The sequence below is a fragment of the Homo sapiens genome, chromosome 2 (genome assembly GCF_000001405.40).
Source record: "Homo sapiens chromosome 2, GRCh38.p14 Primary Assembly".
In the NCBI taxonomy this organism is placed as follows: domain Eukaryota; kingdom Metazoa; phylum Chordata; class Mammalia; order Primates; family Hominidae; genus Homo; species Homo sapiens.
The window spans coordinates 127,842,597-127,859,141 of NC_000002.12; the positions used below are offsets into that span (position 1 = coordinate 127,842,597).

The 16,545-nt window shown below is 45.8% G+C and overlaps 1 protein-coding gene and 3 pseudogenes across 1 annotated transcript, besides 2 other annotated features; 2 read left to right on the plus strand and 2 right to left on the minus strand.

Annotated features, from left to right (window-relative positions):
- Nucleotides 1–956: 956 nt before the first annotated feature.
- On the minus strand, nucleotides 957–15,559 carry POLR2D (RNA polymerase II subunit D). Its single transcript, NM_004805.4, has 4 exons — nucleotides 15,432–15,559; nucleotides 10,329–10,509; nucleotides 7,994–8,089; nucleotides 957–5,589 (listed from the first exon to the last, which is right to left on the minus strand). The coding sequence occupies exons 1-4, from the start codon at nucleotides 15,502–15,504 to the stop codon at nucleotides 5,511–5,513; spliced, it is 429 nt and encodes a 142-aa protein (NP_004796.1). The 5' UTR covers nucleotides 15,505–15,559; the 3' UTR covers nucleotides 957–5,510.
- Nucleotides 2,640–2,745, plus strand: RNU6-395P (RNA, U6 small nuclear 395, pseudogene; annotated as a pseudogene).
- RPS26P19 (ribosomal protein S26 pseudogene 19) lies at nucleotides 4,135–4,484 on the minus strand (annotated as a pseudogene).
- Nucleotides 14,994–15,163: an enhancer, noted in NCBI's record as "active region_16506". NCBI's record gives its function as "activates an Ori minimal core promoter by ATAC-STARR-seq in GM12878 lymphoblastoid cells {active_cell/tissue: GM12878}" and the evidence as "EXISTENCE:reporter gene assay evidence [ECO:0000049][PMID:35858748]".
- Nucleotides 15,394–15,703: a silencer, noted in NCBI's record as "silent region_11937". NCBI's record gives its function as "represses an Ori minimal core promoter by ATAC-STARR-seq in GM12878 lymphoblastoid cells {active_cell/tissue: GM12878}" and the evidence as "EXISTENCE:reporter gene assay evidence [ECO:0000049][PMID:35858748]".
- Nucleotides 15,714–16,545, plus strand: part of LOC107985803 (uncharacterized) — a 28,878-nt pseudogene continuing 28,046 nt past the window's right edge.

Genomic DNA, 16,545 nt, shown 5'->3' on the forward strand with positions numbered 1-16,545 from the left:
TGGGGGCTCAATAAACATTTGCTAGTAAGTACGCAGTGCAGGCCGGGCACGGTGGCTCATGCCTGTAATCCCAGCACTTTGGGAGGCCGAGGCAGGCGGATCATGGGGTCAGGAGATACAGACCATCCTGGCTAACATGGTGAAACCCCGTCTCTACTAAAAATACAAAAAAATTAGCTGGGTGTGGTGGCATACGCCTGTAATCCCAGCTCTCGGGAGGCTGAAGCAGGAGAATCGCTTGAACCTGGGAGGCGGAGGTTGCAGTGAGCCGAGATCGTGCCATTGCACTCCAGCCTGGGCAACAAGAGTGAAACTCCATCTCAAAAAAAAAAAAAAAAAATACACAGTGCCACACAACGGAAGGGAGGCATACACCGCTGCTTTGAACCTGCTCCATGTTTGATGGACTCTAGCAGATCTGCCCCTACTCTGCTGTCATTGAATGTGCATTCTCCTTGTTTAGTTCCAAACTGCTCTTCCGCTGATGAAGAGAGGAGAGCCGGGTGTAGGCACAAATACTGATCAGAATCTACCCAGGACCTGCAGTCTCCCTAGTCCCATCTCCCATTCAGGAGTTGCAAACAGGTACTTTTATCTAGTCAAAGATCTTTACAGAAACTTGAGAGCTGTAACCACATATATTTCCTCAATATTTCTCACCGCAATTGTTAGGTTAGACCCTGACAACTGAGCCACACCACTACTGGGACTGACCCTTGACCCAGAACTCTCCCCAAGGAAAACTTCAATATGAGCTGGATATTCAATAACATGCAATACTTGTCAATGTTCCTAAGTGCTATAATGCCCCATTCCTAGCAATGAAATACAGATAAAGCAAATAGCATGTTATCCGTTACATCAAGATGGTGAACACACAGGTATCAATGTACTAGTCTTTCCAGGTTTTCTGTTAAGTATAAAATTTTTTGTAAAAAAATTATCTGACACCAGTGGCATATTTAGTGCTTTTTATTAACAGTATTACTAAGGCAACTCATCGATGCTGAAGTCCCATCCAGTATGCTATTTTTCATGCCTCAGGTCTAATAAATCTTAATAAAACCAGAATGACTAGATGCTATGGTCTGAATGTGCCCCCTCCCACCCAATTGATACATTGAACCCATCACTGATGTAGTATTAAGAGGTGGGGTCTTTGGCAGGTGATTAAGTCATGAGAGAATATCCCTCATGAAGGGGATTAATGCCCTTATAAAAGAGGCTGCGGGCTGGGTGCAGTGACTCATGCCTCTAATCTCAGCATTTGGGAGGCGGAAACAGGTGGACTGCTAGAGGTCAGAAATTCCAGACCAGCCTGGGCAACATGGCGAAACCCCGTCTCTACAAAAAATAAATTAGCCAGGCATGGTAGCTCGTGCCTGTGGTCCCAGCTATCCAAGAGGCTGAGGTGGGATGATCGCTGGAGAGTGGGAGATTGAGGCTGCAGTGAACCTTAATCATGCCACTGCACTCCAGCCTGGGCGACAGAGCAAGATCCTGCTGTATCCAAAAAAAAAAAAAAAAAAAGCCTGGTCCTTCCATCCCTTCTACCATAAGGAGTGTTCATTCCCTATGGAAGATGCAGAAAAAAAGGCACCATCTTGGACCAGAAAGCCGCCCTTGCCAGACACTGAACGTACCAGCACCTGGATCTTGCATTTGCCAGCCTCCAAAACTGTGAGAAATAAATTCCTATTATTTATAGGTTACCCAGTCTAAGGTATTCTGTTACAGCGCAGGAACAAACTAAGACACTAAAACTTTCAGAAAGACTTATCTGGTTAATTTAGCTTTCTGGTGAAGTGAGGGTTTGACAACCTATCTTTTTGTTGTATCAGTATGTTCCCAAATTCTTTCCTGATTTTACACAGTACAATGAGCCTAACAATGTTTCACAAATTGTGCAAGGTCTCCTAATAGCTATTTTTCAATAGCAATATGCTGTCCAGCCCTGTAAACAATTTTTGACTGTCTTGCAGAATAGCTGACCAGGCTTTCAACCTACAACAGCATGAGGTTGCTTTACCAAGTTCCCTAGTATGAGCTGCTTTTTATTATTTTATTTTTTTTCAAGATGGAGTCTCGCTCTTGTTGCCCAGGCTGGAGTGCAATGGCATGATCTTGGCTCACTGCAACCTCCACCTCCCGGGTTCAAGCAATTCTCCTGTCTCAGCTTCCCAAGTAGCTAGGATTACAGGTGCCCGCCACCACACGTGGCCAATTTTTGTATTTTTAGTAGAGACAGGGTTTCACAACGTTGGCCAGGCTGGTCTCGAACTTCTGACCTCTGGTGATCCACCCGCCTCGGCCTCCCAAAGTGCTGGGATTACAGGTGTGAGCCACCGCGCCCAACTGTGAGCTGCTTTTTAAATCTGCTTTTAATCACCTTGATAAATACCACTGATTAGTGCCTAACTATGTGCCAGAGCATTATATACTTCAGTATTCTCAGGTAGCTCACAGAACCCCTGGCACATAGGTGGAAACACCAGTAAAGATGGTAGCACCGTGCTCCTCAGTTGCCATCTAGCACACGCCTGGATCGTCTGGGCTGCCTTCCAAGTCTCTTCTTCCCATTCCACTGCTTTAGTGCCAATCAGCACATGTAAGTGCCTCTCTCAAGAAATAATTCTGCAGTACTCACTTTGGCAGCACATATACCCAAATTGGAACAATACAGAGAAGACAGCATGGCCACTGCCCAAGAATGACATGCAAATTCATCAAGCATTAAAAAACGAAAGTTAACTGTAGATTTGGGTAAGCAATTTCACTTTTTTTTTTTTTTTTTTTTTGAGACAGTTTCGCTCTTGTTGCCTAGGCTGGAGTACAATGGTGCAATCTTGGCTCGCCACCCCCTCTGCCTCCCAGGTTCAAGCAATTCTCCTGCCTCAGCCTCCAGAGTAGCTGAGATTACAGGCATGCGCCACCACGCCCCGCTAATTTTGTATTTTAAGTAGAGACGGGGTTTCTCCATGTTGGTCAGGATGGTCTCAAACTCCCAACCTCAGGTGATCCGCCTGCCTCGGCCTCTGAAAGCGCTGGGATTACAAGGGTGAGCCACCACGCCTGGCCCAATTTCATTTATTTTCCAAGTCTGATACTATCAGTTGGTAGGCTAACAAATTCTTGCACTAATTTCTATGAAGCAAGCTGACTTAATCATCTATCTATACTAGCTCATCTGCCTGAGATGCTAAGAATAGTGAACATTTACTGGAACATACTATATATCAGACACCTCTAGGCTCTTTGTAATAATTTCCTGTTCATTCAACCTTCTCAAAATACCCATGGGGCAGATACTATTATCCATATTTCACAATTGAGAACACCAATGAGGCTCAAAGAAGCGAAGTTGCTCAAGGATAAAAAGATTGGCCGGTGGCTCACGCCTGTAATCCCAGCACTTTGGGAAGCCGAGGTGGGAGGATCACTTGAGGTCAGTTCAAGACTAGCCTGGCGAACGTGGTGAAACCCTGTCTCTACTAAAAACACAAAAAATTAGCCAGGCGTGGTGGCAGGTACCTGTAATCCCAGCTACTTGGGAGGCTGAGGCAGGAGAATCACTTGAACCCAGAAGGCAGAGGTTGCAGTGAGCCAAGATTGCGCCATTGCATCCTGGGCAACACAGCCAGACTCTATCTCAAAAAATAAATAAATAAATAAAAATAAGAATTTTTTATTCTTGCCTTATTTCGTAGCAAACATAAAACCATCCTGATTTTAAAAGCCAACACTGTTCTTTCTCCTTTTTCCTTGGATCACAAGTTCATACAGAGTCAAGCAAGTGCCCCAAAGAAAAACCCCAAAATTGAAAACAAGTGTATTCCCTTCAGAAAAATCAAAGCTAGAATGTTTAGCTATTGAAGTGTTTTCCCCCAGACTGAGATCAAGTGACTTCACTGCAGTGGCTCAAGAGTGGATGACTCCCTCCTTCCAAATAAAGCACTTATTGCTAATTAGCAGGCCAGAGGCTTAGACTGGATCTCTCATAATTGGAGACTTCAAAGTGTTCAGAACTTCAAGCCTGGCCTATGAAGTAAAAAAAAAAAAAAATTTTTTTAAGTAGAATTGCAATTTTATTTTTCTCCAGAGAAGTTTTTCTTCAGTCCTTAACAACTCCGCTCCTTATATGGGCTTTGGTGGAGGTCATGGGGCAGCACCTGCAGGTCTACGTTGGGGTGGAGGTGTTCGGTCCTTGCCTGCTTCATGAGCTCAATTCCTCACCACTGTGCTGTGAATGGCACAACTCACATGGTAATGTAGCTTCACATCCAGCCTGGGAAGTACACAGGCGTCAAGGATGCTCATTTCAGAAACATCGCTGACTGCTGCGGCCTCTACGTTTCAAATGATGAATTTCTTAGTAGCCTTGTCATTGGGCACACAACAACCACAGTTCATACAGCAAATGGGCTGCAGTGAACAGTGCACACCTGGTTGTGGACCTCTTTGGCACGACCATTGCTTCTTCTTTGTTATCTTGGAGGTGCAGGCCCAAGAAAGATGAAGTAAAAATCTTAATTTGAGGGTGACTAAATGAATCCTTCAAGACCACTTACCCCAAATCCACATTCTGCAAGACAGTTCAAGAAGAAAGGCAAAGTAGCCATCTATCTCAAGGGGCTATGGGCTCCACAATACTTAGCACTTGTCCCCAAGTGTAAACACTTCCCATGGCGTGCTTCTTCCGTCTCCCAGGTTAGGCACAACGATGCCAAGGTGCTGTCATCGACACTCCCATCCTTTAAGAATTTCAGGCCAGTTGTGGTGGCTCATGCCTGTAATCTCACCAGTTTGGGAGGCCAAGGCAGGGGGATCACTTGAGCCCAGGAGTTTAAGACCAGTCTGGACAGCATAGTAAAACCCCACCTCTATAAAAAATTTTAAAAATTAGCTGAGAGTTGTGGTGCACACCTGTGGCCCCAGTTATTTGGGAGGCTGAGGCAGCGGGGTCAAGACTTCAGTGAGCCATGACTGTACGACTGCACTCCTCCAGCCTGGACAAGAGTTAAGACCCTATCTCCATTTAAAAAAAAAAAAAAAAAGCATTTCAAACTAACAGCGGTTTAATTCTTCCTTTAGTATCTAGGTAAAACTGGTCTTTCTCTATAAAGTCTACTATCTTCTGGTCTAGTTTCAAAAAGTATAAACACCCTGAAATTAAAACATGAAATATTAAGAAAAAAGATGATGTGGAGGCCAAAAACCAGGAATGAGGTAGTCAACAGTGTGGTTATGTGACCCCTCATCTCACACTTCGCAGAGGCACGTTCAGGAAGCCACTGGCTGCCACTGCACAAGGCTGCTCCAAGATTCCATGTCACCTGGGCCTGTGAGTTATTTGAAACAGCAACCTAACCCCACGCCAAGCTGGGCTGTTTTCTCCAAAGGAATTCTCAACTGTCTTCAACAGAATTTCTGTGCAAGTCAGCCCCAGACAGTGGGAAGGTGGTGTTATGCCTGGGGATGTGGTTTCTCCGAGCAGCAGTGATGTTTGGAGATTAATACTGAAAGCTGCGCTTTGTCTGGATATCATCAAGAATCTGCTGCAGCTCCTCATCTTCAAACCGTCCCTCCAAGCTACAAGAAAATGAAAAGAAATGAGTGATTTGGCGACTGGCAATTTCCCCGCACTCTTCTTTGAGGCGTGCTAATCTACTGCCCACATCTCTAACACCTTTACCTTTCATCTGGATTTCTTTTCCACTTTTCCTGATAAAACATTACAAAATATTTCAAACATATAAAAGATAAAAGGTATAAAAAATATACCTTTACAGTTAGCCCCACTTGACTTAGAGGTTTTTTTTTTTCTTTTTTTTGAGATGGAGTTTCGCTCTTGCCTCTTAGGCTAGAGTGAAGTGGCATGATCTCGGCTCACCAAAACCTCCACCTCCAGGGTTCAAGTGATTCTCCTGTCTCAGCCTACCAAACGGAGTCTTGCTCTGTCGCCCAGGCTGGAGTGCAGTGGCGCAATCTCGGCTCACTGCAAGCTCCGCCTTCCGGATTCCCACCATTCTCCTGCCTCAGCCTCCCAAGTAGCTGGGACTGCAGGTGCCCGCCACCACGCCCAGCTAATTTTTTGTATTTTTAGTAGAGACAGGGTTTCACTGTGTTATCCAGGACGGTCTCGATCTCCTGACCTCGTGATCCGCCCGCCTCAGCCTCCCAAAGTGCTGGGATTACAGGCGTAAGCCACCACACCCAGCCCTCACCCAGCTAATTTTTATATTTTTAGTAGAGACGGGGTTTCACCACTGGCGAGGCTGGTCTCGAACTCCTGACCTCAGGTGATCCTCCTGTCTCAACCTCCCAAAGTGCTGGGATTACAGGCATGAGCCACCACGCCCGGCCCTGCATTTTTTCATTTACTGTCTTCATGTTTTCTAATGGTATCAACCTCCCAAAGTGCTGGGATGACAGGTGTGAGCCACCACACCTGGCCAGAGTTTTTTTTTGGGACAGAGTGTCGCTCTATTGCCAAACTGGAGTGCAGTGGCGCAATCTCGGCTCACTGCAACCATCACCTCTCGGGTTCCAGTGATTCCCCTACTTCAGCCTCCCGAGTAGCCGGGACTACAGTCGCACACCACCACACCCAGCTAATTTTGTATTTTAGTAGAGATGGAGTTCCACCATGTTGGCCAGGATGGTCTCAACCTCCTGACCTTGTGATCCACCTGCCTCGGCCTCCCAAAGTGCTGGGATTACAGGCTTAAACCACTGCGCCCAGCCCAGAGTTCTTTAATAAGCAGGAAAAGTGGATGGCTGTGTATACTCTCCTAGACCAGTACCTTCCCTCCTTCCCCAGAAATAACCACCATCCTCAATTTAGTATTTATCATTGCCATACATTTAAAAAAAATTTGTTTTGCCATACATATTTTTATACTCACTACACATTTATGGATACGTAAATAATATGCAGCATAGTTTCAAACTTTATAAGAAATGGCATCATACTGTATTTATCCTTCTGCAATTTTTTTCCTCAAAATTCATTCTGGCATATGTTGATATTCCATGTGGTTCTAGTTCATTGATTTTTTTTTTACTGCTGTATAATAAACATTGTATGATTATACAATGATTCATTTATCCATTTTCTTACTGGCCAAGAGATTATCAAATTTCTGCTATCATTAGCAGTGGAGCATGAGGCTGGGCACCGCGGCTCATGCCTGTAATCCCAGCACTTGTGAGGCTGAGGCAGGCAGATCACTTGAGGCCAGAAGTTTGAGACCAGCCTGGCCAACACGGTGAAACCCCATGTCTACTAAAAACAAAACAATGCAGCAATGAACACTAAAATATACGTCTCCTTCTAAATTTGTGTGAGTTACCTTTAGGATATGTACCAGGAATGGATTTTTGGAACTTGGAGTATATTCATCTTTACCAGACATAGCCAAATCACTCTCCAAAATGATTGTTCTAATTAACACTCACAATCCTACCATCAGCGTACAGAAGTTCCAGCTGTTTCATATTTTTGCTATCACTTGGTGTGGTATAAAACCATCATTCTCACACACTGTTAAAAGGGCACTTTTGGCTGGGCACGGTGGCTCACGCCTGTAATCCCAGCACTCTGGGAGGCCGAGGCGGGTGGATCAACTGAGGCTGGGAGTTCGCGACTAGCCTGACCAACATGGAGATACCCCATCTCTACTAAAAACACAAAATTAGCCAAGTGTGGTGGTGCGTGCCTGTAATCCCAGCTACTCGGGAGGCTGAGGCAGGAGAATCGCTTGAACCCAGGAGACAGAGGTTGTGGTGAGCCGAGATCACACCACTGCACTCCAGCCTGGGCAACAAGAGCGAAACTCCGTCTCAAAAAAAAAAAAAAAAAAAAAAAAGGCACTTTCATTCAATATTGGCAATTATGTACCCAAATATATAACGCATACACATTTTAGACACACCAATTCTATTTGTAGGAATTTATCCAGTATACAGAGAACTTATCACAACTGGTACTAACCTTGGGATTAGAGCCTTGGACTCCTCAGCAGTCTCTGGGCAAAGGTTGGCCAAACAGGCCAACTCAAACTTATGAAGCTTTTTCTGGAGTAGCAAGCTAATCAAAAGGAAAAAAAAAAAATCAAAATAATCAAAAACAAATAAACAACAAAAATCAAAGAGTAATCAACAGGAAAAAAGGGATCAAACGTAGCTAGTATTTAAAAATAGCTAGACGGCCAGGTGTAGTGGCTCACACCTGTAATTCCAGCACTCTGAGAGGCCAAGGTGGGTAATCACTTGACGTGAGGAGTTCGAGACCAGCCTGAGCACCATGGCGAAACCCCGTCTCTACTAAAAATACAAAAATTGCCAAGGCGCAGTGGCTCACGCCTGTAATCCCAGCACTTTGGGAGGCCGAGGCGGGTGGATCAACGGAGGTCAGGAGTTCAAGACCAGCCTGGCCAACGTGGTGAAACCCCGTCTCTACTAAAAACACAAAAATTAGCTGGGTGCAGTGGCGGGCTACTCCCAGCTACTCGGGAGGCTGAGGCAGGAGAATTGCTTGAACCCGGGAGGCGGAGGCTGCAGTGAGCCAAGATCACGCCACTGCACTCCAGCCTGGGTGACAGAACTAGACTCCGTCTCAAAACAGACAAACAAACAAACAAACAAAACCAAAAAAACAAAAAACTAAAAAAATTAGCCGGGTGTGGTGGTGTGTGTCTGTAGTCCCAGCTATTTGGAAGGCTGAGGCATGAGAACTGCTTTAACCTGGGAGGTGGAGGTTGCAGTGAGCCAAGACCGCACCACTACACTCCAATCTGGGTGATGAAGTGAGACTGTCTCAAAACAAAACGAAACAAAACAAAAAAAAGGTAGAAGAGGCCAGGCTTAGCAGCTCATGCCTGTAATCCTAGCACTTTGGGAGGCCAAGGCAGGAGGATCACTTGAGTCCAGGAGTTCAAGACGTCTTCAGCCTGGGCAACACAGTGAGACCTTGTCTCTAAAATCAATGAATAAATACATAAAATAAAAATAGCTAAGGGAGACTTGACATGTTCCTAATACATAGAAATGATCAATACCCTCAATACCCTAACATACTCATTACACATTCTAAGTAACAAAATATCATATGTACCTCATACATAGGTACAAATACTATTATCTATCTATCTATCTATCTATAGGCTGGACATGGTGGCTTACCTCTAATTCGAGGACTTTGTTTTTTTTGAGATGGAGTCTCACTCTATGTCACCCGGGCTGCAGTGCAGTGGCACGATCTTGGCTGACTGCTACCTCCCTCTCCCGGGTTCAAGCAATTCTCCTTTCTCAGGCTCCCAAGTAGCTGGGACTACAGGCATGCGCTACCACGCCCAGCTAATTTTTGTATTTTTAGTAGACGAGATTTCACCATTTTGGTCAGGCTGGTCTTGAACTCCTGACCGCAAGAGATGTGCCCATCTTGGTCTCCCAAAGTGCTGGAATTACAGGCATGAGCCACTGCACCCGGCCAATCCCAGCACTTTGGGGGGCTAAGGTTGGAGGATCAATTGAGGCCAGGAGTTTGAGACCAGCCTGGACAACATAGTAAGTCTCCCCATCTCTAAAAAAAATAACAAAAAAAGTTACTTCCCCACTAACAGTACCATTTAGATCACACATACTGGACTTACACAAAATATGACAGATTCATATTTGAATCTGTTCCCAGACTGGAGTACAGTGGCACAATCACAGCTCACTAAAGCCTCAACCTCCCAGGCTCACATGATCCTCCCACTTCAGCCTCCCAAGTAACTAGGACCACAGGTACCTGCCACCACACCTGGCTAATTTCTGTATTTTTTTTGTAGGGACACGAGTTTCACCATGTTGCACATGCTGGTCTTGAACTCCTGGCCTCAAGAGACTGGTCCACCTCAGCTCCACAAAGTGTGGATTACAGGTGTAAGCCACCACACCTGGCTGAAATTCTGGTCTTCTAAGTTGCCCAGGTTGGAGTGCAGTTGCGCAATCTCGGCTCACTGCAACCTTGGCCTACAGATTCAAGCGATTCTCCCGCCTCGGCCTCCTGAGCAGCTAGGATTAATGGTGTGTACCACCAGCTAATTTTTTGCATTTTTAGCAGAGACGGGTTTTTGCTATATCGACCAGGCTGGTCTTGAACACCTGGCCTCAAGTGATCTGCTGCCTCAACCTTCCAAAGTGCTGGGTGTGAGCCACCATGCCCAGCCTAACATTATTTTACTTAAATTCACAAGTGACACCTGGGAAAGGGGGAGGGGACAGCATTCTACATGCAGTTGTCCAATGGTTTGGATTAATAAAAACTTTCTTTTAGCACTCACCTACGAACACTGGCAATGGTCTCTCTGTTTTTGAAACGACTGAAACGGGCTGTGTAGTTTAATGTTTTCATGAAGACTTCTGAGAGCTCCTGTTCGTCCTCTGCACTCTCATTCTGCTGCTTTCGATGTTCCAGAAGCATATGAACTTCTGAATTTAGAAGTGTCTCAGCTGTTTCAAACTCTATTTGTAAGAAGCATAAATGGCAGCTGAAAATACTCCTTCAAAAGTTTGCTTCTAAATGTTCACTGTGCATTTGAACATTTCTCTGCCCCTGCAGAAATCGAGGGGTTTCCTACTCCACATCTGCTTTTTTTTGAACTTTTATTTTAGGTTCAGAGTGCATGTGCAGGTCTGTACTACAGGGAAAATGGGTGTTGTGAAGGTTTGGCGAACAGACTATTTTGTCATCCAAGTGATAAGCATAGTACTGATACATAGTTTTTCAATCTGCACCACCCACCCCCTCAACTAGGCCTCAGTGTCTGTTGTTCCCTTCTGTCCATATGTACTCAAGGTTTAACTCCCACTTATAAGAATGTGAGGTGCTTGGTCTTTTGTTCCTGTGTTAATTGCTTAAGTGAATGGCCTCCAGCTCCATCCATGTTGCTGCAAAAGATATGATTTCGTTCTTTTATTTTTTTTTTTGAGACAGAGTCTCAATCTGTCACCCAGGCTGGAGTGTAGTGGCATGAATACAATTCACTGCAGCCTTGACCTCCCTGAGCTCAGGTGATGCCCCATCCCCATCTCGGCCTCCCAGGTAGCTGGACTGCAGGCACACGCCACCACACCCTGTGTGTTGTTGGTAGAGATGGGGGTTTCACCACACTGCCCAGGCTGGGATCTCCTTCCTTTTTATGCCTGCAGCTACTCCACATCTTTAAGTTCACCCACAGTTACATACCACAAGGCACAGTTACATACCACAAGGCACAGTGGAGTTCACGAGACACTAACATTTAGCTTGTCTGAGCTAGATTCTGACACCAAAAACCTGACCTAGACATGCTACTAAGTAATGACACATAGACTAGTTACTGATTTCAAGAGTACACTGACAATTCCTTCCCTCTAGCCGGCATCAGCTCATCATCTTCCTACTTCCATAATGCTAGTATTATACTCTCAATTTTAAGAATTGTTACATGTTAAATAGGGCCAAGTGTCTGGAAATAAATATAATGTACCCCAAAATCTATTTTTGTGCACACACAAATGTTATAAGCAATTTTTAAGAATTAGGTTTGAGAGAAAAAGAAACCCATGGCCCCTTTTCATAATATACGGCGACCTTCTACATTTCTACAATAGTTCTGTTAAAAAATGCTGTTACCCTTGGGAAAATCATTCTCTCCCTTACGTTCCTGCAGGATCTTATGTTCCTAATGTTTATCTCAAAGTATTAGAGATAGTTTTTATCTGCCTTTCTCTTAACAGTGAGTTCCCTTAGAGTAGGAACCATTCATAAACATGAATTCATGTTTATAACCCCACACTGAAGAGGAAGCAACAGTGAGGAAAAGCCAAAACGACTTGCAATTTCACATTTAGATGTGCTATGGGTCTGTTTACTATCAGGGAAATCACTAACACCTCCCTCAGAGTAATGCCTTCCCATTTCTCAAGCCAGGTAACTGACAAGAGCTTCATTTTCCTTTTACAACACAGATAGTTTTAAGTGGTGGGTCAGGAGGAAACTGTATTTTTATTTGAAAGGTACTCATTGCTACTAAATAGAATAGGCTGCCAATACAGTTGGAGCACTATTGAAATAAAATTAAAATATAAATTAAAAAATAGGTAACCAAAAACTGTTTTCTACCTGAGGGCAGGAGAGTTTAAACGAAAACCTCAGAACACCTTCTTTTTCAGTCTTCTAGCCTATAACAGGGGATTTACTACAGTGAGAGCCTATTTGTATACCAGGAAAGTTACCTCTTTTAATCCTTAACACTGAGGCAGTGTAGGTACAGAAGAAACTACTGCCTCACAGCAATGAGTAGAGGAAAAGGCATTATGTATCAGGACTGCAGAACCTCCAAACTCTGAAGTGACAGTAACAAATGACATCAGGCCAAAAAAAAAAAAAAAAAAAAGGGAAGCAGCAGCTAATCAGTTACAAATCTGTTTGTTGGAACTTTGATGCTTTTACAGGTCCTGGAAAAATCAATGTTAAGAGATGCCTCCCAGGCTAAGCGCAGTGGCTCACGCCTGTAATCCCAACACTTTGGGAGGCCAAGGCAGGTGAATCACCTGAGGTCAGGAGTTCGAGACCAGCCTAACATGGTGAAACCCCATCTCTACTAAAAATACAAAAATTAGTCGGGAGTGGTGGCACATGACTGTACTCCCACCTACTCAGGAGGCCGAGGCAGGAGAATTGCTTGAACCCGGGAGGTGGAGGTTGCAGTGAGCCGAGATTGTGCCACTGCACTCCAGCCTAAGGCAACAACAGTGAAACTCCGTCTCAAAAAAAAAAAAAAAAAAAAAAAAGAGAGATGGTCCCTTTCTGCACTAAACCAAATTACTTGTTAAATGGAAAGGAATGGAACTTTTAGGACACCAGGAAACTGGTCAACTGTCCCTATTTCTCATTAAGAACAATACCCAAGTACTACTAATACATTACCCTCACTCCCTTCAACCAAGGAAGGTCGAGGCAGCCAAACTGTAACTCAGAGTGCCTAGGAAAGTGGTGTCTGAGACCTACCACAGAGCTTTTGGGAGGCATTCCCAGGATTCAGCATCAACAAAATGGGGATGGGGGAGGCAGTTCAGACACTTTTGTGTAACTATGGAGAGGAGGGATCCAAGACTTCTCCCCATGGCTAATCCCAAGGAACATTTTCAAGTGAAGGCGCGCACACGCGCGCACATACACACACACACACACACACAATTTATTTAGAAACAAAAGGAAATAGATCAGGGGATCTGCCTGTTATTTTCTCTTGTGCAAATATTTTAAGAACAATGGCCATAATTAATCTCTGTTGCTAAAAAAGGAAAAACAACTCCTTGGCTGTATGTCATCTGGAAATTTTACCGAGGATACGTCATTACGACCATTAATAGGCCAGGTGCAGTGGCTCACACCTATACTTTCTAACACTTTGGGTGGTCGAGGCGGGCAGATTACCTGAGCCCAGGAGTTCAAGACCAGCCTGGGCCACATGGTGAAACCTTGTCTCCACAAAAAAATACAAAAATTAGCCAGGAGTGGTGGCCTGCACTTGTAGTCCCAAGTATTCCAGAGGCTGAAGTGAGGTGAGAGGATAACCTGAGCCTAGGGAAGGTTGAGGCTGCAGTGAGCTGTGATCACACCACTGCACTCCAACCTAGGTAGCAGAATGAGATCCCGTCTCAAAAAAAAAAAAAAAAAAAGGCAGGGTGAGGTGGCTCACACCTGTAATCTCAGCACTGGGAGGCCAAGGTGGGTGGATCACTTGAGGTCAGGAGTTCGAGACCAGCCTGGCCAACATGGTGAAACACCGTCCCTACTAAAAACACAAAAATTAGCTGGGCATGGTGGCAGGCGCCTGTAGTCCCAGCTACTTGGGAGGCTGAGGCAGGATGGCTTGAAACTAGGAGGGGTAGGTTGCAGTGAGCCGAGATCACATCACTGCACTCCAGCCTGGGTGACAGAGTGAAACCCTATCTCAAAATAAAATTAAAAAAAAAATTAAAAAAAATAAATTAACAACTAAAATAGTAAGTTCTAACGTATTAAACCATAAAATACAAAAAACACATAATAAACATTTTTTCATTTTTATATTTTTTATTTCTTAGAGGGTAGTATTTCCGTTTTAATTTTAAATTTATTATTTTGCCAGGCAATGGCTCACATCAGTAATCCCAGCACTCTGGGAGGCCGAGCTGGGTGGATCACCTGAGGTCACGAGTTCGAGAACAGGCTGGCCAACATGGTGAAACCCCAGCTCTACTGAAAATACAAAAATTAGCCGGGTGTGGTGGTGGGCACCTGTAATCCCAGCTACTCGGGAGGCTGAGGCAGGATAATCACTTGAGCCCAGGAGACGGAGGTTGCAGTGAGCCGAGTTCGTACCACTGCACCCCAGCCTGGGCAACAGAGTGAGACTCTGTCTCTAAATAAGTAAATGAATGAATGAATAAAAGAATAAGATAGGTCAGGTGCCGTGATTAACTTAAGCCCAGGAGTTTGAGACCAGCCTGGGCGACATAGTGAGACCCTGTCTTTACGAAAAAAATTTTTTTAATGGGCCAGGTATGGGGGCGTGCATCTGTGGTCTCAGCTACTTGGGAGGCTGAGGTGGGAGGATAGCTTGAGCGGTTGAGAGGTTGAGGTTGCAGTGGGCTCTGATCATGCCACTATACTCCAGCCTCAACAAGAGGGCGAGACCCTATCTCAATCAATAAATCAATAAATCAATAAAGTGTAAGACAGCTGTATACATTTTCAAGTTTTTGAGCTGAAGACCTCATCCCTAGGAATACCCTCCCCAACCACTTAAAGTGCGTGCGTGAGAAAACTCAAGGCTGCCAAAATAATTTGTTCCAGCCAACAGCTGAAGATAGGACTCTGTCTCTCTGCCTCTGTGGGAGGGTAGGGGCCTAACTTCGACAGGTGCGCCAGTCAACAAACCAAGCTGCGTTCACACGGACCAATCCTCCTCTTCCCGCTTTTTTACATTTCTCACTTCCCCGACTCCCCCGAGCTCCCGCTCACCACATCCTTATTCCCTAATTCTCCGTTAAAACGCCCAGAGGTTCTGTACTAATCGAAGTTGAGTTCGGTTCACGCTGGGCTCTTTTCCCTAGTGCAACAGTATATTACTGTTTAAAAATCTGTCCTTACCACCTGAGTGTCCGGCTTTGTTTATCTTTGACACAGGTCCCCGGAACTTCGCAGTTTATCACATAAAATAACCCAGTTGCCCAGGCGGTCCCTCCCAAGGCCATGGTCCCTCCCAAGGCCATGTTCCCTCCCCAGCCCCACGCCGCGCTGGGGCTTGCCCAAGCCGCCGCTGAGGCAGGGCCTTGGGCGAAGCGCGCATAACGCCAGGCCTGCGGCGACCACGCGAAGTGGCGCGGGGGAGTCTGGCAGCCCCGAGCCCAACCTTTAGGAAAGATGAGCTGTGAGGCGTCCTCCTCTACGTCGCCAGCCCGCGGATCGCTGCCACCCGCCGCCATCGCCGCGCCGCGCCGCGCGCCACCACCAGCGCCGCCGGAAGCAGAAGCGCGGAGCAACGGCCGCGGAAGGGGCGTGGTCTCGGGAGGGGCCCCGAGGGGTGGGCGGGGCCGGGAGTGCGAGCCGGACGGGGCGCAGCGAGGGGACCGGTTGGTGAGGTCCTGGAGGCTCCCCGCCACCGAGGGGCGCCCTGCACTCCCTCTCTTCTCCCATGCTCCTCGCCGCGCAGACGTCCTGGGGCAGGTCCCTACGCCTTTCTGGACGGAGGAGGTCAGATGAGATGCAGGAACGCCTGCTGATGGAGAGCAGGGCAGCCGGCTCCGAAAGTACCGGGTCCAATTTCCTTCACCGACTTAAACTTCTAAAATTTTATTGATTTGTGGTGGATTATCTGATACTTCTGAGTACGCGGACAATGATATTCAGAGGCTTTTACCACACGTCTGTTGGAACATTTGGGTGATGCGTAGAAAATTAAGCAAATGACGGCCGGGCGCAGTGGCTCACGCCTGTAATCCCAGCACTTTGGGAGGCCGAGGCGAGGGGATCACCTGAGGTCAGGAGTTTGAAACCAGCCTGGGCAACATAGTGAAACCCTATCTCTACTAAAAATACAAAAATTAGCCGGGCATGGTGGTGGGCGCTTGTGATCCCAGCTACTGGGGAGGCTGAGGCAGGAGAATCGCTTGAACCCGGGAGGCGGAAGTTGCAGGGAGCTGAGATCGCGCCACTGCACACCAGCCTGGACGACAGAGTAAGACTCCGTCTCAAAAAATATATTAAAAAAAAAAAAAAAGCAAATAAAAAATGATGCTGTTTTCGACACTGGAGAAAACAAAAGGTTGTACAATAAGGTAAATAATCATAGCTTATTAGTCAACAATATCTTAGCTCATTAGTCAACAATGTTTAGATGGTCATATTGTAAACTCTGTTGATTTAATAAAAAATGAATTGTGCCGGGCACGGTGGCTCACGCCTGTAATCCCAGCACTTTGGGAGGCCGAGGCTGGAGGATCGCTTTAGCTCCGGAGTTGAAGACC

Excerpts from the sequence above, each read along its gene's own strand:
- POLR2D (NM_004805.4), bottom strand. The coding sequence starts at position 15,504 with ATGGCGGCGGGTGGCAGCGATCCGCGGGCTGGCGACGTAGAGGAGGAC. Across the intron at positions 8,090-10,328 it reads ACCATTGCCAGTGTTCGTAG|CTTGCTACTCCAGAAAAAGC; the intron begins GTGAGTGCTAAA and ends CCTTTTGATTAG. Across the intron at positions 5,590-7,993 it reads TCCAAGGCTCTAATCCCAAG|CTTGGAGGGACGGTTTGAAG; the intron begins GTTAGTACCAGT and ends ATTTTCTTGTAG.